The sequence below is a fragment of the Homo sapiens genome, chromosome 17, assembly GCF_000001405.40.
Source record: "Homo sapiens chromosome 17, GRCh38.p14 Primary Assembly".
NCBI lineage: Eukaryota > Metazoa > Chordata > Mammalia > Primates > Hominidae > Homo > Homo sapiens.
In genome coordinates, this window is record NC_000017.11 from 64,883,627 (window position 1) to 64,909,544 (window position 25,918).

Here is a 25,918-nt window from a genome sequence, read left to right on the forward strand (position 1 = left end):
TTGTTTCAACTTACAAACACCACAAAATGGTGTCATATTGGTCATAAAATTACTGGCACCTTCCCTTGGCATCTTGCCTTTGGAAGGAAATGCAGTGGGCCTATATGTCACATATGCCAAATATGACTGCAGTGTAGCTTTGTTTACCAGGAAGATTTGACTCCAAAAGAGCCCAGCCCCTAACATACACTTGGTGTGTTGAGACCCTTGTGCCAATCTTTGAAAGTAACTGTGACTTAGTTTGAAGGGTACAGCTCTATTCTGTTTATATGAAATGAGTGCTAGTTTCCAATATCAGCTAGCTCTGATTTTTTCATCACCATGAAGCAAATGCCTTTTTCTGTTGTTTAAGATGAACACAGAAACTCAAGATAAGCAAGTTAGTGTCTCTCAAGTCTTTCTTAACCCAGCCCCCATTCCTGCTTTGTCCTCTCCTTGTCACCCTGCCGTACAGATCCCCACATGGCTCTCATATGTTTTCCCATCAGCATCCGCTTCCTCCTTGAGGAATGAAAGTCCCCTGGGGACAAAGTCCTCATCTTGGTGTGTCTTTGAGATGGATTTTGTAGCCCCAGCACTTAGTACAGTACCTGGCACAAATGGACATGACACTCTGAATGTTTTTGAGTGAATTCATTAATTTTTATCAACTGTGATTCCAGTGTTTTCCTGGTGTTGCCTACATAATTGTAGTGAAGCTGGCTAGATGATGACGATGATGATTATTATTATTATTATTATATTATTATTATTATTTGAGACAGAGTCTCACTCTGTCCCTCAGGCTGGAGTGCAATGGTGCCATCTCGGCTCACTGCAACCTCCGTCTCCTGGTTTCAAGTGATTCTCCTGCCTCAGCCTCCTGAGTACCTAGGATTACAGTTGCCTGCCACCATGCCCAGCTAATTTTTGTGTTTTTAGTAGAGACAGGTTTCACCATGTTGGTCAGGCTGGTCTTGAACTCCTGACCTCAGGTGATCCACCCACCTCAGCAAAGTGCTGGAATTACAGGCATGAGCCACCGCTCCCGGCCACCAGATTTTTATGAGGGACTCCCAGTTGTATAAAGTGCTTAGTAAAGATGGTGAGTTTAAAACATTTGTATTGATGCTACCTAAACCTCTTGGTGGAGGGACCTAATGAGCCTGTTCTCTGGTGTGAGGGCAAAAGAAAAACAGACCTTTAGTGTACTTTTCCTAAGTTATGCATCAGCAAATTAATGAGGACAGAGGGGAGCATGTGCAGAAACTGCTGCTCTAGTCCAGACACATCCTGAATGCCTCCCTCTAACTTGAAATGAACTGTGTGAAACTAGATTTCTGAACCACAAGGCAGGTGGAACGTCTTTTCTAAAGTCAGATGTAGAGGAGAATCTTCACCTTGAGTCCCCTTCAGGCCACTGAATATACCCACTCTGATTTGATGGGTATGTTATACAGAGAAATCATAGAATTTTTGCAATTATGGTAGAAGAGTAGTCAGGAAAGTATATGGAATTAAGATACAGCGATATATTTTCTTTACAAAAGTTTTTTTTTGCACAATAGCTTAACATAAACACCATCTTGGCCAGGCATGGTGGCTCACACCTGTAACCCCAGCACTTTGGGAGGCTGAGGTGGGCGGATCACCTGAGGTCACAGGAGTTCGAGACCAGCCTGGAGGGGAGGTTGGAGGGTAGTGGCACAATCTCGGCTCACTGCAACTTCCCCCTCCCGGGTTCAAGCCATTCTCGTGCCTCAGCCTCCCGATAGCTAGGATCACAGGTGCCCGCCACCATGACCTGCTAATTTTTGTATTTTTAGTAGAGATGAGGTTTTGCCATGTTGGCCAGGCTGGTCTCAAACTCCTGACCTCCAGTGATCCTCCCACCTTGGCCTCCCAAGGTGCTGGGATTACAGGCATGAGCCACCATTCTGGCCCTACAACTTTGGATTTGATTCCTGCTCATATGCAGAGTTTCTAACTGCTTAAATGTCTGCAACATTTAGCTGCAAGGAAGGAAGCTTAACACAAAGTCCTCCAGGGAGCAAAAAACTGCACCACCACGCCCAGATTTTTTTTTTGTATTTATAGTAGGGACAGGGTTTCACTATGTTGGCCAGGCTGGTGTTGAATTCCTGACCTCGGGTGATCCACCCACCTCGGCTCCCAAAGTTCTGGGATTACAGGTCTGAGCCACCCCGCCCAGCAACAAGGCTAATTTGAGGGTCACTTCTTTGATGCCTTTTCTTGCCCATGCTATAGGTCAGAACTAGGACAAGCAGAGGAGGTCATATATAAGCTACGTAAGTCTCTTGGCCTCTTTGTACCTTAGCTTCCCCATTTGAGAAAAATGAATGGATCTTAAGACATGCTTTTCAGAGTTGATAATGGGCTTATACCCAGCTACCCAATAATTGTATGAGTTTTTGTACATAAATAGTTGTTTACATGTATTCATCTTCTATTTCACTTACAACTTATGTAAAAACTGCATTCCGTGCCAGGCCTGAAATGTTCCAAAGCTGAGTTCTGTAATTACATTGCAACTAAGATTTCTAAAAAAAAAAGACACAAGCCAAAGAAAAAAAAAATTATTTCAGAACATTTATCATTTGCCATGATTCTAATTTATATAGGATGGAACATAACCTCAATCCTTTCTCTATGCACTAAGGAAATCTGACTGTGGAAGATACTGGCTTATGATTTATACTTTAACACTGCACATGTGGTGCATTAGATACAAAACAGTGAATGCTCAGTAAATACCTGTGTTAAGTGATCTTTATTTCTCTAGAACAGGATTTCACAACTTCAGTGCCATCAACATTTTGGACTATATAACTCTTTGCCATGGGGGTTTGTCTTATACCTTGAAGGATGTTTAGCAGCATCTCTGGCCTTTGCCCACCAGATGCCAGGAGCACACTCACAGTTTTGTCAACCAAAACTGTCTCCGGACATTACCAAATGCCACCTGAGTGCAAAATCACACCACCTGAGAACCACTGCTCTCTGATGATTCACTAAGATCTGTGTAATAATTCTCACAATAATCCTTGCTAGAGACAAAAAGGATTTGCTGTATAATTTTAGTAGCTTTCTACTGGTAAAATTTTAATCATATTTCAAGAATAGCAAAAAGGTTTATAATTAAGTTTTATAAAAATTCCAAATGTAATCAAGTTATATTTGTAACTTACATAAACTTCAAAAATGGTAGTGGTTCAAATGTATGTCTTTCAATAGACTGTATTTTATTGCAGGATAAATCTCTAGGAAAACGAAAATATTGCCTTGATTAGTTATTAAATGTCAATTGGTATGAATAACAGCAAGAGTTTAGAATAATACTGAATACCTGTTTTTCATCTCAACTCTAAACGTTTGGACTTGTATTTGAACATTCCAGAGCCCCTAACCCTGCCCATACCTCTCCTAGAGTCTCACCTTCATGGTTTTAATAAATATACAACATAATAGACTTTGGAATTAATTTTTCCTGAGAGCAGTAGACTTGATTAGATGCCCTTTTGTAGTGTCATCAAATCTTAGATTATGAGCTCAAAGATTTTATCTCTATATACACAATTTCTAATATTAAAAAAAATAGTCGGGCCGGGTGCGGTGGCTCAGGCCTGTAATCCAGCACTTTCGGAGGCCGAGGCTGGCAGATCCTGAGGTCAGGATATCGAGACCATCCTGGCTAACACGGTGAAACCCTGTCTCTACAAAAAAAATAAAAAATTAGCCGGGCCTAGTGGCACGTGCCTGTAGTCCTAGCTGCTCAGGAGGCTGAGGCAGGAGAATGGCATGAACCCAGGAGGCGGACCTTGCAGTGAGCCAAGATTGCACCACTGCACTCCAGCCTGGGCGACAGAGCGAGATTCCGTCTCAAACAAACAAACAAACAAACAAGTCTCACATTTCTACACCTTCTTAGTTTAGGTCTGTTTTCCTAAGCCACTTCAATATCAGAAGAAATAAAAGACATCCTTTCACATCATTTGAAAGGAAGCTACCCCTTTACCTAATACATAACTTTGAACTAATTCAAATCATATTAATAGAATTAATTTCTATCATATTAATAGAAATTCATTTTTGGTTTTGTATTGCTTTAATATTTCATAAAAAAAAATTTCTTCAGTTATACAGTGATGGAGTTTGTCCCTCCCTCTTTACCTGGATGGTGTAACGTTGTCTGGCTGATGTCTCCATCTCTAGTCTCTCCCTACCTAAACTATCCTGCACACAGTCATCATATAAACTCTCCAGAAGTGGCTTGCAAAGACCAGCATCTCCTGGGAAATTACTGAAGATGCAAATTCTTGGTCCCACTCTAGACCAACTGAATCAGTAACTACGAGGGTGGAGTCCAGAACTGAGTTCTAACGTGCCCTCTCAATGACTGTGATGCAGATCTACCTTACAGCGCTGCTGTGGTAACACGGTTCCCCATGTTGGCTCCTCAGCTTGGCATTCAAAGCTCTAGAAGATCTGGCTCCATTTTCCTACTCTCCCTTCTTGTACTCTACGGGTACTCATGGCATTCCTTGAATACTTTCCTGTGTTTTGCCCTCCCATTTTCCTTTTGCAAGTTTAGAGTATTTTCCCCAAGATGTCTGTCTGGTGTTACACAATGGCCCTTTAAAGTCCTATTCAAATGGCATTGTTCTAGTAACATCCTCCTGGGTCCAAATTGAAGGCATTTTTTCCTCTTCTATGTTCGAGAAACAATTTATCCCTCCTAGTGCCCACATCCGTTTCTTCTTCTTAATGTAGTTATTTTTTATCCCATTTCTTCTGAGCATAAACTCCCTGAAAGCATGGACTAGGTCTTGCTCATCTGCATTGCCCACCATGTTTAAAACTGACACATGGAAATAAAGCAAACTCAAATATTTGTAAAATAAATGAATAGCTGGGGGAGTGAGTAGAAGGAAAATAACTATTTTAAAGGAAATGTAGTTTTATTATTTCATGGTCTCTGTAGCACTTTGGCATCCACCTGAGGGTCTTTACACCCACTTTCCTTAAGCCTTCTATATTTGAAAGAATCTGTTTGCAAAAGAGCATCACTAATGAGCTTAATAAGGATTAATGACATACAGACCTCTATGGACAAAGGGTAAGAATCAAGCTTTCATAGCAATGAACATAGTATCTTCTTGTCTCTAAACAGACAGAAATACAGGGATCCCTTTCTGGTAACAGGGCTGGGGCGATCGTTATTTTGTAATTAGTGAAGAGTTAGGGGCATTTCTGATGTGCTTCTTAGTGTAAACATTTCTAGCTCTACCAGTTAACCATCATTTTAAACATCTGTTTTAATATAACAATTCCTGAAATGAAATCCTTAATACCAGTCTATTCTCTTGGTAGCTTAATATTCTTTATAATATTATTGATATAATTCAGCTATTTTTAATATTTAAATGTTAATTTAATTCCGATTAAATTACCAAAAAATTCTGGATTAATGATGTTCAAATGAATGCAGGTGGTCTCCATTTTCTTCTCCTTTAGGCAACCATCTGAAGTTAACTTTAGTTCCTTTCATCCTACTAAACCAACTTTTTGAAATTTTTTTTGGTGAAGGTCAGACAGTAAATATTTTAGGTTTTATGGGCCACATATGATCTCTCGCATATTTCTTTGTTTCTTTTCTTTTTCTTTCACAGTCCCTTTAAAAATGCAAAACCCATTCTTAACTTAATGGGCTATTTAAAAATAGACCATAAATTAGATTGGATCTATTGGTTGTAGACTGAATAGAAAAAGAATGATATGTGAACCCTTATAAAACAAGGTTCATATGGGTGTCAGTCACTGCTCAGATTTTCTTACCATGTGAAATGTTTTTGTCTGTATTTTGTCTATACAACTTAAAAACTGAAAATGCACAGGAGGTAGCTAGTGCTAGAGATGGGCTGAGACCCTATACAAACTTACAGAATTGCAGAATTTTATTGCTCAAAGAAATCTGAGAGATTATCTAATTTGAACCCCTTATTCATTTTACAGATAATATGACTAAAAACTCATAAATATAATTAACTAACTTACAAATACTGGAGGGATAGCAGGCCTTCAAATGAATCCTTGTGTAATTCAGTCAAGTTATTTTCTCTGAGAATTCTGGAAAATGAAGAAGTTATTTCTAGATTAAAATGCAAACTACAACTATTTGCTACACAGAACCATCTCCTGCATGTGGAGGAAAGCTGGGTCATGGTCACTTCAAGATGGTGGGATCTGCTCTGCTTTCATTCAAACCTTTTCTTATATTTTCCTTTTTGTGTCCATCTCTCTCCACCACCACCACAAACACACACACACACACTCAAGCACACCCCTTGAAGAGTGGGTTTCTTCCCACCAAATTCTATTATTTCATGCCTCCTCTCTAGATCACAAAATCCCTTTTAGAATCCAACTCTGGGTGGCACCAAGATCAGCAGAACCTCCATTTCCTCCTCTCTTTTCCCAAACCTTATTATGAAAGCCCCACATGGAACCATGTCAGGGCTGCAAGTGAAGCCATTCAACCTTTTTCCCCCCATCAAAAAAATTGGAGAACTATAATGTGCATAAAGTGCACATAACATAAATGTTGTTTATTTAATTTAATTTAATTTTTGAGACAGGGTCTCACTCTGTTCCCAGACTGGTCTCAAACTCCTGGCTCAAGTGATCCTCCTGTGTCTGCTTCCCAAAGTGCTGTGACTGCAGACATGAGCCACCTCACCTGGCCAAAATATTCAGTTTAATAATTATGAAGCAGATACCCATGTAAACATCGTTACAAAAGATCATTGCTAGCATGCCAGAAGCCCCAGTGTGCCCCTTTCCAATCATATCCCTCTCTCTAACCCTAATAGGTAACCACTATCCTGACCTTTGTAATAATTTTCTTGTTTTTAAAATGTAGTTCTGGCCTGGCGTGGTGGCTCATGCCTGTAATCCCAGCACTCTGGAAAGCCAAGGTGGGTGAATCACCCACGGTCATGAGTTTGAGACCAGCCTGGCCAACATGGTGAAACCCTGTCTCTACTAAAAATATAAAAATTAGCTGGGTGTGATGGAGGGCACCTGTAATTCCAGCTACGCGGGAGGCTGAGGCAGGAGAATCCCTTGAACCCGGGAGGTGGAGGTTGCAGTGAGCCAAGATCGCACCATTGCACTCCAGCCTGGGCAACAAGAACAAAATTCCATCTGAAAAAATAAATAAAGCAATTCTCCTGCCTCAGCTTCCCAAGTAGATGGGATTACAGGCACCCACCACCACGCCTGGCTACTTTTTGTATTTTTAGTAGAGATGGGGTTTCGCCCTATCGGCCAGGCTGGTCTCAAACTCCTGACCTCAGGTGATCCGCCTACCTCCCAAGGTGCTGGGATTAAAGGCGTGAGCCACCGCGCCTAGCATATGTTTATTTTTAATTTAGAACTCATCGTGGCTTGTCTATATACATTGAAATAATGATGTGACACACAAACTGTTGTGAAAAATGTCAGTTACTTTGAATGTAAGCATTTTTTCCAAAATCACTTATGTGTCTAAACCAATTCCTTCTATAAATCAGTAAGAAAATGATAAAACAATTCAACAGGAAAATGAACAAAGGCCAGAAAACTCAGAGAAGAAACACAAATGTTCAATAAACATATAAAGATACTAAATTAAATTCATGAGTAATCAGAAAAATTCACATTTAGATGGAATCCCTTTTATTCATCCATAACTTCAGCAAAAAGTTGGAGAATACCCAGCGGTGAAAAGGTGTTGGGAAATGAATGCTGTCATATTCTGCTGACAATAGAGTAAGTTGGCACAAAATTTTTGAAGGCAACTAAAATTTTATATCTACATAGTCTTCACCCCAAGAATTCCATTTCCAGATATCTATGCTACAGGAATACTTGCACATGTTCACAAAGAAGCATGTACAGGGATTTCATTGCAGCAATGCATGTAACAAGAAAACTAAGCATAATCTAAACATTCATCAATGGGGGAATTATTAAATAAACCATGATGCATCCATACTATGGATTATGCAGGAGTTTAAATGAATGGGGTGACCCTCTCAGTACTGGGAAGCAAAGAAATCTAAGGCATATCATGAAGTGAAAGAATCAAGTTGCAAGATGTTACCCTTTATGCGAAGAAAAAATTTTAAAACCACAAAACAAATCTATTTTGCTTTATGTAAATATGTATGTAGGTAAATGAGGAAAAGTCTGGAAGCATGTATACTAAATGCAGAGTAGCATTACTTCAGGGATGAGGGAGTAGGGCACAAGGAGAGTTTTTGTTATATCTGTTATTGCATTTTTATATATTAAAAATGGAATCATGGGCTGCGGGTGGTGGCTCATGCCTGTAATATGAACACTTTAAGAGGCCAAGGTGGGAGGATCACTTGAGCCCAGGAGTTCAAGACCAGCCTAAGCAGCATAGGAAGACCCTGTCTCTACAAAAAATACAAAATTAGGTGGGTGTGGTGGCATGCACCTGTGGTCCCAGCTACTGGGGAGGCTGAGGTGAGAGGATCACTTGGGCCTGGGAGGTGAAGGCTGCAGTGAGCTGTGATTGTGCCACTGCACTGCAGCCCAGAGGACAAAGTAAGACCCTGTCTCTGAAAAAAAAAAAAAAAAAAAAAAAAAGAGAACAAAAAGGAATATAACCATGTACTATTTGTATGATAAAAAATAAATTTAAATTGCCTCTTATTTTAAAGAGAGCCTACCAAATTTAATTTTAAAATAACCATACAATTGCAATCAACAGTGGTTGATTTGGGGCGTGGAGGAGAAATATCTTTCCTCAGAGGTACCGACCTCAAAATTCTGGACCAAGAAGGATCTTACAATGCAGTTAGCTTTTTGTCATATTTGGAGAGAATATACTCACAGTTTCTCGGTCCAACTGTATGCTTTCCATACATTTCCATCAATGTAAGAAATATAGTTTCCTTGGAAATTTCTGTGAAGAAACACAGTTTATATCCTTGAATAGGTAGGAAAACAATGAACACGATAAGTAAAAGAATCATTGCAACCTTGTTGGGGATATTCAGAAACAGAAAATAACACCTGCTTTCTCATTTCCAGAGCTATCAGCTTCCCAGTTTGCACAATTCATCAAGAAATTATGCGGGGTCACTGGCACAAATGATGAGGCATCTCCTGGAAGCTTAACTTCTTATCCATCCCATCTCTTGGACAGATGATGCCAGTTAATTACTTTGAATGTAAGTATTTTATCTAAAAGCACTTATGTGTCTAAACAGACTTCTACAAATCAGTACCAAAATGGTAAATAATTCCACAGAAATATGGGCAAAAGCTTATCATTATCAACAAATGAGAAGAAAGAAACCCTATGCCAGGTAACACCAAAGCTTTGGCCCAGTGCCCTCTGTTGAAACATCCTAGGCTTTTTCTTTCCACTCCTATTACAACTGATCTGATTTGGCCCCTTCACACCTCACTCCTAGATTTTGCTAGACCTTTCTATTTTGTCTCCCTGAATTAAGCTTTTCCTTTTGGACACTTTACATATGGATTCTAAAACAATCCTCTGCATGTCTACACTTGCACATAATGCAAAAAACAAAATAAAATAATCTTCCTGTTTTGATCATGTAATCTCTCTTGCTTGGAAACTTTCAATGGCTTTCCATACCTCATTGTGTAACTTTCAAACTCCTATAGCTGATAATCAAGGTTTTACAGAATCGTATCTTCATTGCTCCCTCACCTAATTCTTTGTAGCCACATTGGTCTACTAAATTCCAACCATACCTGTAGCCATGCGTTTGCCTAGACTGTACTCCCATTTTTCTCCTATTTAACAAATTATGGCTACTCTTTAAGACCCAAGTAAAGTTTTAGCTTACCCATGTAGCATCTCCACACCTCAAGGATCACAGATTCTGGCAAATTCTAGCACCAATGGTCTGCATTATCTTTTAGTACTTAATTATATATACCTCCCTTTTTATGCCTATTCTCTTTCTTCCCTCCTATCATTTTTTTTTTTTTTTTTTTGAGATGGAGTCTTGCTCTGTCGCCCAGGCTGGAGTGCAGTGGTGCAATCTCGGCTCACTGCAAGCTCTGCCTCCCAGGTTCACGCCATTCTCCTGCCTCAGCCTCCCAAGTAGCTGGGACTCCAGGCACCCACCACCATGCCTGGCTAATTTTTTTCTGTATTTTTAGTAGAGATGGGGTTTCACCATGTTAGCCAGGATGGTCTTGATCTCCTGACCTCGTGATCCGCCCGCCTCGGCCTCCCAAAGTGCTGGGATTACAGGCGTGAGCCACCACACCCAGCCTCTTCCCTCCTATCATTTTTGTGTTCTGGAGACAGTAGCATACTTGGCCCTGGGTTTGACATAAAACTAGTTCTACATATAGAAAGCTAGGGACAAAAATGAGTTCTGGACAAAACTAAAGGACTGAATAATCATGTGAACAGCCAACTCTCCTACATATGCTAAGCACTGATGAAGTGTTTCATATATTCACTCACCTAAATTTCACAACAATCCTATGAAATGCTAACTAGCATGATCCCCAGTTTAAAGGTGAGGAAATTGAGTCACAGGCAGAATAACTTGCTCTGGGTCACCAAGCTAATAAATAGATCTGGGTTCAAACCCAGGCAGCCTGGCTCCGGAATCAACTCTTAACCACTTAGAGCATCATCACTGAGATCGGGAGAGGGACAGGCTGCTGTAAAGAGGGTGAAGCGAAAATGGGAGGAGAGCAGCGGTTAAGCAATGATGTGATGGGGCTAAATAAAAATGGATACAAAAACGAGTAAAAGACCAGAGTAAAAGGAAAAGACTGGAGAAGGGGCCTAACATTAAAAGAGAATGAGGAGAAGGGAGAGTTGACAAGCAAAGGTGAAAGCAGAAAGTCAGTTGTCCATATGGCTTGGGGAGATAAAGAAGGCCCAGGAAGGCCTCCAGGAAAAGGCTGCCATGTCAGGCAGGACACAGAGGACAATTGAGGAAAAGTGATTCTTACAAGATGGTGAAGGTGCCATTGTGGGTGTTGGGCTCTGGCACAGGCACTTGGCGGAGCCTCTGCTCTGGGTTGAGATCAATACATGACAACATCTCATCTCCGCAGGTACAGAGCTCACATATGTTGGTGCTTGTGGAGGCCTTGTGTTCCTCTGGTGCAGTTAAAGCCTTATTTTGGGTGTAACTTTCAGACTGCACCAGTGAATCCTGAGCAGGTTCTAGTTCAGTAGGTGGACCTGTGACTTCAGTCAGGCTTCGATGCAGAGTCTGAACCCGGTCTGGACGAGGAGCTGTAGTCTTCTCCAGGGCTGTAGAATGTCCAGTCTCTGTAGTGGGTTCTGGAATGATGGCAAGTCCCAGGTCTGGAAGCTGAGTTGAGGTCTCCTCCGTGGTTGGAGATGGTTTAACCTCTGTAGTAGGTTTTGTAGTTATGGTAAGCTCCAGGTCCAGAGGTTGAACGGTGGCTTGAGTCAGGTGTGAATGCTGAGCCTGACCCTTGTCTGAAGGTGGAAGTGTCACCTCAGGGTGTCCTGGAGGAGGAGCTGTAGTCATCAGGGCTGTAGAAGGTTCAACCTCTGTCATGGATTTTGGAGTGATGGTAAACCCCAGGTCCAAAGGTTGAACTGTGGCTCGAGTCAGGTGTGAATGCTGAGTCTGAACCTGGTCTGGATGTGGAAGTGTCACCTCAGGATGCTTTGGAGAAACTATAGTCCTCTTCGGGGGTGTAGAATGTCCAACCTCCGTAGTGGGTTCTGGAGTGATGGTAAGTCCCAGGTCCAAAAGTTGAACTGTAACGCTGGGTGACACTGGATGCTGAGCTTGATCCTGACCTGGTGTTGGATTTGTTACCCCTTGATATACTCGAAGTTGGGGTACAACTTTCTTAGGAGGCTGAGTTGGGGTCTCCTTCATGGTTGGAGAAAGTTCAACCTCTGTCATGGATTCTGGAGTGATGGTAAACCCCAGATCCAAAGGTTGAACTGTGGCTTGAGTCAGGTGTGAATGCTCTGGAGGTTGAGCTACAACTACATTAGGGAACTCTGGAGTCTGAGCTGGGGCCTCCTGATGGGTTAGGGAAGACTCACCCTCCTCAGCGGTCTGTGGATGCTCAGCTGCAGCCTCCTGCTGGGTTGGAGAGGGGTTCTCATTATTAATAGGTTCCGGAGATTGAAATGAAGTCTCCTGTTGAACTGCTAAAGGTCCAGCTTCTTCTGATGACTCTGGAAGCAGAGGTGGGCCCCCGTGCTGGATGGCGGGAGGTTCTACATCATTACCTGACCCTGAGAGCCGAGTTGTAGCCTCCTGGTGGACTAGAGAAGTTCCCACCTCTGCACTAGGCTCTGCTGCTATGGTGAGCTGCACGTCTGGAGGCTTCACAGAGACACTGGGTGAAGCTAAATGATGAGTTTGATGGTGACCTGGAGGTGAAACTGTGACTTCATGATGTTCTGGAGGCTGACCTGGGGTCTCCTGCTGGGTCGGAGAAGATTCGACCTCCCTAGAAGACTCAGAAGGCTGAACTGGCTGCTGCTGCTCACTGATGGAAAGTTCATGCTCCATAGGAGGAACTGGAGGCTCAATTGGGGCCTCCTGTTGGGTTGCAGAAGGTTCCACCTCCTCTGGAAACTGAATTGGGGTCTCCTGCTGGGCTTGGGAAGATTCTGTCTCATTGGTAGGCTCTGAAGTTATGGTAACCTCCACATCTGCAGGTTTAACTGTAATGTTGGGCAAGTGATAATAAGCTTGATCCTCACCTGGAGGTTGAACTGACACCTCATGATTCGGTAGAGTTAGACTCTCCATAGAGGACTCTGGAGGCAGAGCTGGGGCCTCCTGCTGCATTGAAGAAGGTTCTTCCTCAAGGAGCTGTGGAAGCTGTGCTGGGGCTTCTTGCTGGAGTGAAGAGGACTGGATGTCTTCAAGGGTCTCTGGATTTTGAGTTTCGGGCTCTAGATGGAATTGAGAAGGTCCAACTTGCTCAGAGGGCCCTGGAGGCTCATCTGACTTCACCCGGAGTTCTGGAGGCAGGCTACCGGGATACGGTGTATCTGTACTGGAATATTCATTCTGCAAAGTCTGTTTCTGACTCTGAGGTGTGGATAATTGGTGTATAATTCCAATAATCTCAGCAAGGCTCCAACGCTGAGCTGGATCTTTCTTCAGCTTCTTGGGCGAAACAGGGAGCCTTTCCTGTGGACTCAGCTTGTCCTTTAAATCCTGCTGTGAAGCCAAGAACTGCTCTGGCTCCAGGGGCAGCTCTCCAGCTGAATCCCAGGTGTCCAGGAATGGAACCAAATTTTCAGTCGATTCCTGGGGTGGGGCTGGCATCTCTGAGGAAGCAGAGGGCCCCAGGTGATCAAAGTCCCACGGGTCTGCTGGGAGAGTAGGCGCATGGGGAGATTCCCGTGGGAAATGGGAGGAGTGGGAAGACCAGGGCTCAGGCGGCCCCAGGGGGTTAGAGGTCAGCTGGAGCGGGTCCTTGACCCACTCCAGAGGCTGAGCCTCCTTGACTAGTAGCCACAATAGTTGCCACATAAGGAGGGGCCATGGGCCCCAGAAACGCAGCGGGGACATGACACACGCTAGTGCCGGGCACTGAGCGGAAGTCATTCTGGCAGCTCCGAGACGCTCGTGCCCCTTGTAAGCATGAGTCCCGCCCTGTCTTTATGACACCTTTATTTATGCCACAGATCTGCTCCATGTCACCAGGGCACTCTTATGTCACAATCCCGCCCAAGCACGCCTTCCCATCCTGCCCTGCCGGAGCACCCCTCTCCTCCCCTTAGTGAGGAAGGATTTGGGCCTCAGATCCTGGTGGTCCCAGGACTCCAGCGCCTGCTGTGGTGGGGTAGGGTGGGGTAGGGTGGGATGGGGGCGCGGCAGAGCTTCCCAAGGAAGTCACCGGACCTCGCCTCAGGATATTCAGAAGTGCTAGTTCAGTTCTGGCAGCCTTCCTCCTTTAAGGTGAAATCCGAGAACACTCTTCCTTCCAGGGAGAGCAACTGACCTGCAAAATGGGCGCCAGGATGCACATTACAGTCATTTATTCCAAAGTGTTGCCATTTTCGCTAAACTGTCGCATGTTTGATAATTAATTCACCACCCTATTAGGTAGGGGCTGCCAGGGAATAAGCGAGGACTCCAAATTTTCTGTAGGAGGGGTGTTGGGAGTTGGCAATTCGGTCTGGGAGAGAAGGTTTTAATCCGAGTGAAGAGCCCTTTGCACTAGCCTGGGAGGAGGCTGAACTGTCATCCTGCCTTGACTCAACACAGCCATTCCCCTAGAAGTTACAGCACTTCTAGGGTCACCTGTGTTCAGAGATCTACCCTGTGTGCACACATGGAGAAGAGGCTTAGGTTGTTAAAGTCAGCATGTTAAATCATTTCCTGAAATGCGACTGTAACTAGAACCCAGCTGACTTCCCCCACAGCCGTTCTTACCTATTTTATTACTGTCTGGCATAATTACCAGCATGTAAACTCCAAGAAGGTGCTTCATCTTATTTTAGTGCCTGGCATAGACATAGGGTGCATAGTGATGGCTTTAAAATTGAAGGGGGGCCGGGTGTGGTGGCTCACACCCATAATCCCAGAACTTTGGGAGGCCGAGGTGGGGGGATCACTGAGGTCAGAAGTTCGAGACCAGCCTGACCAACATGGTGAAACTCCGTCTCTACTAAAAATACAAAATTAGCCAGGTGTGGTGGTGCATACCTGCAATCCCAGCTACTCAGGAGGCCAAAGCAGGAGAATCGCTTGAACCTGGGAGGCAGAGGTTGCAGTGAGCCGAGATCACAACATTGCACTTCAGCCTGGGCAACAAGAGAGAAACTCCATCTCAAAAAAATAAAATAAAATAAAATGGAAGAGATTCCAAGATTCACCTCATTTAGGGATGGAGCTATTATTATAATCAGATTTCTGAAATGAGTGCTGACTTCCTCTCACATTTCACAGGAAGCTAGACTTCTTAAAGCTTGAAGTCTCCTTGGTGGGTTTTATTTAAATTGAATTAAAATAATTATTTTACAGGGAAAAATTTCAAAACACTTTGCAACTTTGGGGTAAAAGTTAAATAAAACACTGTAGCCCCAAGTTAAGTTCCCACTGAAATGATACTTTTGCTCCTTTTTTTAAAAAAAATTCCATAAATAGTAAATAATGACTGTTTTGAGATTAATTTAGAAACAATCCCTATTTAAGAGCTTTCATATGCAGTCATGCATTGCTTGCCACGTGAGGAGCTTGAGAAATGGGTCACTAGGTTATTTCACCATTGTGCTAATATCATAGCGTATACTTACACAAACCTAGGTGGTGTAGCCACCATACCTAGGGTACACGGTATGGCTTAGGACTCCTAGGCTACAAACCTGTACTGTATGTTACTGTACTGAATACTAAAGGCAACTGTCACAGAATGGCAGGTATTTGTGTATGTAAACATGGAAAATATATAGTTAAAATACTGTGTAAAAGATAAAAATGGGGCCTGGGCACAGTGGCTCATGCCTGTAATCCCAGCACTTTGGGACGCCAAGGTGGGTGGATCACTTGAGCTCAGGAGTTCAAGACCAGCCTGGCCAACATGATGAAACCCCATCTCTACTAAAAATACAAAAATTAGCTGAGTGTGGTGACGCGTGTCTATAATCCCAGCTACTCAGGAGGCTGAGGTAGGAGAATCACTTGAACCTGGGAGGTGGAGGTTGCAATGAGCTGGGATCATACCACTGCACTCCAGCCTGGACAACAGAGTGAGACTCCATCTCAAAAAAAAAAAAAAAAAAAAAGATAAAAATGGTATACCTATATAGGGATAGCTCCATTATACGCTTACGGAACCACCATCATATATGTGGTCTACTGTTGACGCAAACTTCATTTTGCAGCACATGATTGTAAATGATTGACAGAAAGATCTTCAGCAAAATATTCCACCCAAGATACGTGGGAGATATTGAGATCCAAGCAATAAGCCATATTTGAAAGGCATTATAGTTTTCAAAAGCTGTAGCGCAATCATTCTTAAGGCCAGTTACCTTCTCCCCACATCTCTGGGATCCTGTTTGAAGGGAGTTCTAACAAGGCCTGTGTTCGAGCAGCCCAGCATCCCTTACTCCTGGAGCGGGGGGAGACTAACCCCTCTCCTGTGTCCACAACTGTAGTAACACAATCCTCGGTTCTGCTCTCCAAACTTCAAATAAGGGGTCAGAGCCAAGGGTCAAGACTTTAGGAAAAGCCCCGGAAATACCCTGCACTCAAAAAGCAGTTTCAGAGTTTCACATTTTCCTGAGAATTAAACAAATTATCCTCCAAATTCTGCTGCTTGTTTTGAATTATGGTTATACTGGCAATGTTATCCAACCCTTGAGTTGTTTTTCTTTTCTTTTTTTTTTTTTCCTCGAGAGAGTGTCTTGCTCTGTCACCCAGGCTGGAATGCAGTGGCATGATCTCGGCTCACTGCAACCTCCGCCTCCTGGGTTCAAGTGGTTTTCATGCCTCAGTTTCCCAAGTAGCTGGGATTACAGGTGCCCACCACCACACCCAGCCAATTTTTGTATTTTTAGTAGAGACAGGGTTTCACCATATTGGCCAGGCTGGTCTTGAACTCCTGACCTCATGATCCACCCACCTCGGCCTCCCAAAGTGCTGGGATTACAGGTGTGAGCCACAGCGCCTGGCCTGTTTGTTTTTTGAGATAGAGTTTCACTCTTGTTGCCCAGGCTGGAGTGCAATGGTGTGATCTTGGCTTACCGGAACCTCCGCTTCCCGGGTCCAAGCGATTCTCCTGCCTCAGCCTCCCGAGTAGCTGGGATTACAGGCATGTGCCACCATTTCTCCATGTTGGTCAGTCTGATCTTGAACTCCTGACCTCAGGTGATCCACCCGCCTCAGCCTCCCAAAGCACTGGCATTACAGGTGTGAGCCACTGTGCCCGGCCCTGTTACCTTTGAGTTTTTATCTCCACATACTTATATTAAACCGTGTAGTTCTTCTTCCCATCTGACATCTACAATCTCTTCACTGGGTCTGTACTCCATAGCTATTTTACCACTTTCTGAAATAAAGTTAGCAAGGATGAATTCAGAATCTTTTTCATTCCAAAACTTCCTGCATATAATGGTAGCAACCCACAATGAGACATTCTTTTAGTTTCTAAAAGCAGGAAATAAGCATTTTCCTGAAAGTTTCCTCATCTCTTCATCATACACTTCGATTTTTGTTTTTCTTTTTTCTTTTAGACAGGGTCTCACTCTGTCACCCAGGCTGGAGTACAGTGGCACTATCATAGCTCACTGTAGCCTGGAATTCCTGGGCTCAAGTCATCCTCCTGCTTCAGCCTCCAGAGTAGCAGGCACTATATCACTGTGCCCATCTAATTCTCTTTTTTAGAGACATGGTCCCGCTTTGTTTTCCAGGCTGGTCTCGAACTCCTGGCTTGAAGTGATCCTTCTGTCTTGGCCTCCCGAAATGCTGAGATTTCAAGCGTGAGTCATCATGTCTGGTCTCACAGCTCAGTTTTTAACATATGTATGAAATATCAACTGTGTTTGGTTCAAAGGACTTTATGATCTTACAGATAGGAACTAAGGAATAATAACATAAGAAATAAAAAATGTGGAAATAAAAACGTTCAATCATAATATGATTAAAAGGTAAGGCACCAGGTGGGGGGTCGAAGTAAGTTCAAATCCAAAATAGAGACCACTGGGCTAGTAGACACTTCACATTAGAAGCATGGCTAGGTGTCTACTCCCTGAGAACCAAAATTCCACCAGATACAATGAACAAAGCTTTAGAGAGAGAAAACATTTGAACATTTTACGGGCAGAAAATGGCCCACATACTCTATAGACAATACAATTTCCTTCAAGGCAAACTAGAACTATAAGGCTTTTGGTCTAAGAAGTGAGTGTGTGCAAGGGATACCTTTGCATACTAGGGAGGGGTAGACAACCCACACATTTAGCTTGGTTATTAAATGTCATTACTCAGACTTGACAGTTGATGACCAAGGAAGTAAGACTTTCACTAGAATGGCTGCCCAGGTTGGAAAGCTGAGAGCAATCAGGGCCACCTCTTACAAGCAAATAAAGGTCTGTAGTAACTTAATTACAATCTCAGTCTCTAAGCCTTCAGGGTTGTGAAGCAGAAAGGCAACTCTGTTCAGGGACTCGTTAAACACCAGGTTTCCTTTGGGCACAGGCTATGACATTTGTGCCACTGTAGAACTGAATAGGAAATACAAGCAGTGCCATTCAACAGCATGACCACTTCCAAGGCTCACAGCAAAGCAGCTGATTATTGTATAAGAATCATATTTGGCCAATATGTCAGTGCCAGAAATGAGAGCTGGAACTGAATTCTCGATTCGAGAAACATAATCTAATAAATTCTTCAGCAGAGTTTATTTATTCAGAGAGAAAACAATCACAACAATAGCATATTTTGTCTGCTTACCTTGTAAGTATAGTTCTGAGTTTTTACACTTGTCATCTCATTTTTTCTTACAATATCCGCAATAAGGTTGATTGGATTACTAACCCCAGTTTGCAGATAAAGATTGCAGCTTAGAGATATTAAATATCTTCAAATCTCTCTGGCCATAAGACCTAAAACTGCATACAAAAATCTAAGAGACAGAGTTAGGACTCAAATCCATGTGTCCAGGGCTTATAATCACTATTCTGTACGATAGGCATGCAATTAAAGAAGACCTGCCTCAAACATTTTCTGTGTGACCTGAGGCAAGTCCTTTTATAGCTATAAACTAGGGACAATATTTGCTGTCATTTTTTCTACAAATGTCACAAAGAACAAATTTGAGCCTGTCGCTGTGAAAGAACTTAGCAAATGAAAGCATCCTAGGGAGTGTTTTAGATATCGATATTTTTATCCAATTAACTTTTCAAAATGAGTTTATTTGCTCACTGAAACTGAAGTACTTCAACGACGATTAAGAAAGTTTTACCTAGAACCACAATCAACAGTTTCTGGAATGCATCTGACAAAGCCTTCTCAATAGCAATCTGGGCTATCTTCCCTTTCATAGGAATGACAACGGTCTTAAATCCAACCCAAACTAATGGATTTAAGATGCCTATCTGAGTGATCATTGCTACATGTTGGTTAAAAAATAAAAATGCATCCACGAATCTTAGCTCATAATCTTCGTGATTAAAGGCAGACAGCACAAGGGTATGGTTGAACGTCTCTGTTATAGGTACATCCTGGCAGGGCCCATTTTTACTGCCTCCATCTAGTTGGGAAGTTCCTAAAGTACTAGAGGGAGACACAAGCCAAGAACCTGGCACATATCTCACATCACCCAGAGATTTAATTCATCAGTTAAGGCTACACTCCTATGGACCCCACCCTCCTATGCATCAAGGGCTGGAATCACTCACTGAAAAAAAGCTTTGTTGGCTGGACACGGTGGCCCATGCCTGTAATCCCAGCACTTTAGGATGCCAAGGCGGGTTGAGGCCAGGAGTTCAAGAACAGCCTAGCCAACGTGGTGAAACCCCATCTCTCCTAAAAATACAAAAATTAGCCGAGTGTGGTGGCACACACCTGTAATCCCAGCTACCTGGGAGTCTGAGGCACAAGAATAGCTTGAACCGGGAGGCGGAGGTTGCAGTGAGCCGAGATCATTCCACTGCACTCCAGCCTGGGTGACAGAGTAAGACTATTTTCAAAAAGAGGCCAGGCACAGTGGCTCATATCTGTAATCCCAGTACTTTGAGAGGCCAAGATGGGCAGATCACTTGAGGTCAGGAGTTTGAGACCAGCCTGAGCAACATGATGAAACCCTGTCTCTACTAAAAAATTTTTTAAAAATTAAAAATTGGCTGAGTGTGGTGGTGGGCAGGAGGGAGGTGAACTGCTTGAACCTGGGAGGTGGAGGTTGCAGTGAGCCGAGATCACACCGGTGCACTCCAGCCTGGGCGACAGAGCAAGACTCTGTCTCAAAAAAACAAAAAAGGTTTGGTACAGATAATCTGGCTCCTCCCTGGGCATCATCCATGAAAGCCTACTCCCCTCCATTAGCCTACAGCCCTGCCTCTGACTTCAAACCCTAAGCCTGAGGGCCATGAGTACTAGAAAAAAATCTCAACGTCAGTTATCAATTGAGTACCCTTTCTAGTATCTCTAGTAGACTCTTGTTCCACTGAAGCCCTTCTACGAGTAAAAAAAAGGCTGAATGGGCCGGGCGCAGTTGCTCATGCCTGTAATCCTAGCACTTTCAGAGGCCAAGGCAGATGGATCACGAGGTCAGGAGTTTGAGACCGGCCTGACCAACACAGTGAAACCCCATCTCTACTAAAAATACAAAGATTAGCCAGGCATGGTGGTGCATGCCTGTAATCCCAGCTACCCAGGAGTGTCAGGCAGGAGAATCACTTGAACCTGGGAGGTGGAGGTTGCAGTGAGCCGAGATCACACCACTGCACTCCAGCCTGCGCGACAGGGCAAGACTCTGCTTCAAAAAAAAAAAAAAGACAATGTTTACACAAAACTTTCTGTAAATCTTTACATGATGACTTGGCATGGTGGGTGGCTCATGCCTATAACTCCAGCACCTTGGGATCCTGGGGCAAGAGGATCACTTGAGGCCAGGAGTTTGAGACCAGGCAGGACAACACAGCAAGACCCCATCTCCAGAAAAAATAATTAGCCACATGTGGTGGCGCACGCCTGTAGTCCTGGCTAGTCAGGAGGCTAAGGTGGGAGGATCCCTTGAGCCCAGCAGTTTGAGGTTGCAATGAGCTATGAGCATGCTACTGCACTCTAGCCTGGGCAACAGAGCAAGACCCTGTCTCTAAAAAATAATAATAAATAGATAAACAAATCTTTAGATAATTTTGTTGGGATAACTGAAGGCTATAAGAGATACATATTTGAAGGACTATTTTAGACGAGATTGGGCGCGTTCAGGGTGGTATGGCTGTAGACTTGAAGGACTATTTTAATACAAAGCAAGTTCTTAACCGAAAACTGGAAAAACATTACTTCCTTCTTCCTCCTACGCTTCTTGGCAGGAAGTACACTGTACAATTTTAAATTTAAAGGTTCTGGCCGGGTGGGGTGGCTCACACTTGTAATCCCAGCACTTTGGGAGGCCAAGGCAGGCAGATCACGAGGTCAGGAGATCGAGACCATCCTGGCCAACATGGTGAAACCCCATCTCTACTAAAAATACAAAAATTAGCTGGGTGTGGTGGTGGGCGCCTGTAATCCCAGCTACTCAGGAGGCTGAGGCAGGAGAATGCCTTGAACCCGGGAGGCGGAGGTTGCAGTGAGCCGAGATCACGCCACTGCACTCCAGCCTGGTGACAGAGCAAGACTCTCTCTCAAAATTAGTTAATTAATAAATCAATTTATTAAATAAATTTATTAATTAATAAATCAATGTATTAAATAAATTTATTAATTAATAAATCAATGTATTAAATCAATTTATTAAAGCAATTTATTTACTTATTTAAAGGCTCTGTCAGGTATTGCCTAAGGTAAAAGTCTGTATTGTAAGACAGAAAACCTCTGCCCAGGACTTCAGTAGCTCAGAGAGGGAAAGGCTTGATATGTGTCTGAAAAGACAAGTTTTAGACAGCAAGAAAAAAGAGATCCTTCCCATTTCAACTCCTTACCCTCCTCTACCCCCAATGAAAACAGACCTTCCTTCGCCTTATCCACAGGCTCCTCCACCAAGCCAAGGCCAGACTCCTGCAATCATAGGATGGCAACACCACCTCTAAAGCACAGAACTTCAGCCTTTGCTTCGGAAGTGGCACCATGGTCTCTTCATTTTCCCTTTCTTCAAGGTCAGAAAACTGAAGCTGTTAGGAGTTTTAGTGTTAAGTTCCTTCCGAGGATGTTAATTAGGCTTCAAACTGTTTTGTTCTGAGAAATAAAAACTAAACTCCAGTCATTCAAGCTAACAGTTGAGGTGTTCTATGGCTTCAAAATCAAGTAAGATTTGTAAATGAATTGCTAGGTGCAACCATTACTTATTATATGCCACACAAACAGTGGAGAAAATTATGGACACCACCATCCAAGTGATTGAGATTATTAATTTTAGGTAGCAGGCCAATTCAGACATGTCCACTTATCCTCAATGGCAGGGGGCCTCTCACATCCCCTCCCTGTAACCCAGTTCAATACTTCTGTCTAAAGTCTAGAATTTCAATGTTGAAAGGAGAGCGTGGTTAGTGAGAGAAAATCCACAAAGTTTATCCTGATGATCCTTTCTGACCATCCATTGAAACCAAAGTAGTAATTCACCAGTTCTTGGCATCAGGAGCTGTTTCAGGCAAGGGCCTGATGTGCAACTGCCTTATGTCTGCTGCCAAGAGGAACCTAAAGTCACAAGAGACAGACCCACAAATATCACAGCCTGCCAGAGATTTTATTTTGGATACACCTGAGATTTATCAATACCAACTGTGCAAAGAAAAGAAATTGTTTCAGTCTTCCCATTCAGTAGCTCCTTCTTGAGAACATGACCTGAAGAATAGATAAGATGAACCCACCCATCCCCCACCCCAAGTTACCCCTGCTTAAAGAGGAAATACACATACCTCTATACATTTTACAAGCAACTAAAACAACTAGAGGTTCATCTGCATTTATAAGCTTCTTTGACAATGCAAATATCTACTGAGTGTTAATTCTTGAAATATTTTACACATTTCTGTGAATTTCTTACATCACCAGTTCTTTCTTATGTCTATTTCATTTTGTAAGTGTAGAATATGATTATATTCATGAAACTCAAATGATACAAATAGTCAAATTTATTGTATTAGAAATTAATAAGAATAGTAAAGTTAATTCTTTGTTGATTTGTTTATGCACCTTCCTCTGTCACTGGTTTATAAGCTCCATAAGTGCCAGAGGAAAACATATCTTATTCTTTTTTCATTCCCAGAACAAAGCACAGTTCTTGGCATACAATACAGGATAGATGATCTGTTGATTGAGTGAATGAATAAAACAATGAGCAAGTAAAAAATGAAATTACTTTTTCCCACTGAAGAGAAAGAGAAACGCTTGTTGGGAAGGAGAAATGAAGACTATTTTTTTTTTTTTTTTGAGACGGAGTCTCCCTCTGTCGCCCAGGCTGGAGTGCAGTGGCACGATCTCGGCTCACTGCAAGCTCCGCCTCCCGGGTTCACGCCATTCTCCTGCCTCAGCCTCCAGAGTAGCTGGGACTACAGGTGCCCCCCCACCACTGCCGGCTAATTTTTTGTATTTTTAGTAGAGATGGGGTTTCACCGTGTTAGCCAGGATGATCTCCATCTCCTGACATCGGGATCCACCCACCTCAGCCTCCCAAAGTGCTGGGATTACAGGCGTGAGCCACCACGCCTGGCAATGAAGACTAATTTTTAAACGTTGAGTGCTACCACGGAGACCAGCCTGTATCATGAGTCACAGTGGAGACTTTCGGAACATCTAGGAAACTTCAGAAGGGCTCTAAGCCCCTGGGTGGTACAGACAGTTGTCACCTTGGATAACGTTGCCACAGTTCTTGCTGGCGACCATTTCCCTTCATTTCACTGAAACAAAAACAAAAACAAAAAACCCTCACAGATGCCTTAGGCCTTTCCTTGATTTTAAAACATTATTCTCTTTTCTGTATTTATAAAAACCAAAAAAGACAGGAACTAGGTGCATGTGCTAAAGTAGAAAAGAACACTTAAGGCCAGGAGCAGTTGCTCATGCCTGTAATCCCAGCACTTTGGGAGGCTGAGGTGGGCAGACTGCCTGAGGTCAGGAGTTCGAGACCAGCCTGACCAATATGGTGAAACCCTGTCTCTACTAAAAATACAAAAACTAGCAGGGCGTGGTGGTGGGTACCTATAATCCCAGCTACTTGGGAGGCTGAGACAGGAGAATCTGGGAGGCGGAGATTGCAGTGAGCAGAGACCGGGCCATTGCACTCTAGCCTGGGGAACAAGAGTGAAACTCCACCTCAAAAAAACAAAAAATAAAAGGACCCTTAAACTAGATAACAGTGGGGGTCAAGCAGTAACCCAAGGCTCTGAGTTCAGTAAGTAAATAAATCTAATATGAATGCCCTCTCCTCTCACTCATCTATTAACTTGTAGAACATTTCCTTCATTACTGCATCAGCGATGAGCTTTATGCTGTGAAATTCTCAAAATCTAAAGCTTATGAAGTGGTCTCAAGGTCCAAAGCACACTAAAAACTCATTACTTACAAAATGATACCAAGTAACTGTTTCATCATCTTTACCGTACCTTTACCATATTTGAGTGGCTATGTGAAATGGTCACAGGTTAGAAACACATCATAGTCCAAAAGTTGAAGAATATTCCACAGGTAATCATTTCAGTCACAGGAAGTGGAACCAGGATTGAAGAGGGTGTTGAATAAGCTACAAAAGTGGGTATAGTATACCTGGAGTCATTACTAAGCAGAGTTCTCAGATTTGATCAAGGTTAATTCAATGAGAAATGGAATATATATAGACAATAGGCAACAAGATTAGCAGGAAGCAGTCAGATCAAGTAGCCAATCAGGAATTGAAATCGGTCCTTGAAAATGGAAAGGTGATTGAATTGAGGCATACAATGAGATATCCTTCTGTGGCTCTGGGAAAGTAAAATTGGTTGGCATATTAACATGGAATAGGATTTCTACAAGGCCGCTTAAAGAATGTTTCCATCCTCTGAGAACTGAAGGGAGTTCCAAATAGGCAGTTTGTGACTGATGATGAGCATGTTGATGATAAAGTCTCCTTTATATAACAGCCGGCAGACGACTTGGTCACACCCACACATCTTAAATTCACATAAAGGTAAATATATGGTCAGGCGTGGTGGCCCACACCTGTAGTCTCAGCACCTTTGGGGAGGCGAAGGCGGGGGTGGATCATTTGAGGTCAGGAGTTCAAGACCAGTCTGGCCAACATGGTGAAACTCCATCTCTACTAAAATACAAAAATTAGCCAGGCATGGTGGTGCATGCCTGTGGTCCCAGCTACTCAGGAGGCCGAGGCAGGAGAATCACGTGAACCCGGGAGGCGGAGGTTGCAGTGAGCCAAGATCGCACCACTGCCCTCCAGCCTAGGCAACAGAGACTCCGTCTCAAAAACAAGTCAATATAGCTGGGCATGGTGGCTTGTACCTAGCTACTTAAGAGGCTGAGGCAGGAGGATTGCTTGAGGTCAGGATTTAGAGACCAGCCTGGGCAACACAGGGATACTCTGCCTCTCTAAAAATATTTTAAGAAGTACCACCACCATGCCCAGCTAATTTTTTTTGTATTTTTAATAGAGACGGGGTCTCACCATGTTAGCCAGGCTGGTCTCAAACTCCTCACCTCAGGTGATCCACCCGCTTCAGCCTCCCAAAGTGCTGGGATTACAGGCATGAGCCACAGTGCCCAGCCCAGAACTTGCATTTCTAACAATTCCCAGGTTGTGCTGTTTGGGGAACCATACTTTGAGAAACACTTCCCTATAATCTGATAGGTTATTTCCCCTAAGATCCAGATGAGTAAAAATTAATACACATTAGATGAAATTCCAGAAGTTATCTTCGAACTTTGCTACTCATTGAATGTCATGAAGATATTGGAAAAAAAAGAAAAAAAACAAAAAACAACCTTGCTACTCAACGAGGGATTTGCTATTATCACATTTCAGAGAAATTCAGAACCTCAGGCCTAAACCCAGGCCTACTAAATCAGGATCTGCAGTTTCTCACAATCTTCAGGTGATTTCTATGGTCATTAAAGTTTGAAAAGCTGCCTTGAAACAGTCCTTCCTAAAACTGAAGTGGAGGTGCCACAAAAATCATCTGGTAAATTGTTTAAAGTAATCCCAAATGCAACTCAAATCTACAGAATCCCAGGTGAAG

The 25,918-nt window shown here is 43.1% G+C and overlaps 1 protein-coding gene, 1 long non-coding RNA gene and 1 pseudogene across 4 annotated transcripts in view; 1 reads left to right on the forward strand and 2 right to left on the reverse strand.

Moving 5' to 3' along the window:
- The window catches only part of LOC105376844 (uncharacterized), a 59,955-nt gene that overhangs the window by 33,816 nt on the left and 221 nt on the right, over positions 1-25,918 (forward strand). Inside the window, exons 2-3 of one of the 2 annotated variants that reach the window (XR_934912.4) lie at positions 9,103-9,242; positions 21,725-21,850. This is a non-coding gene — a long non-coding RNA (uncharacterized LOC105376844). Of the gene's footprint in view, positions 1-8,645; positions 9,243-21,724; positions 21,851-25,918 lie in introns of those variants that run through there. The other variant, XR_001752972.3, reaches the window with a different exon arrangement.
- The window catches only part of LRRC37A3 (leucine rich repeat containing 37 member A3), a 65,349-nt gene that overhangs the window by 29,497 nt on the left and 9,934 nt on the right, over positions 1-25,918 (reverse strand). Inside the window, exons 3-8 of one of the 2 annotated variants that reach the window (NM_199340.5) lie at positions 14,736-14,833; positions 11,023-14,028; positions 8,903-8,974; positions 6,055-6,126; positions 3,189-3,260; positions 2,460-2,540 (exon numbers count right to left, since the gene is read on the reverse strand). In NM_199340.5, the coding sequence (NP_955372.2) occupies positions 2,460-2,540; positions 3,189-3,260; positions 6,055-6,126; positions 8,903-8,974; positions 11,023-13,631 (2,906 nt within the window). In that variant the 5' untranslated portion in view covers positions 13,632-14,028; positions 14,736-14,833. The remainder of the gene's footprint in view (positions 1-2,459; positions 2,541-3,188; positions 3,261-6,054; positions 6,127-8,902; positions 8,975-11,022; positions 14,029-14,735; positions 14,834-25,918) is intronic. The other variant, NM_001303255.3, reaches the window with a different exon arrangement.
- On the reverse strand, positions 22,257-22,392 carry RDM1P4 (RDM1 pseudogene 4; annotated as a pseudogene).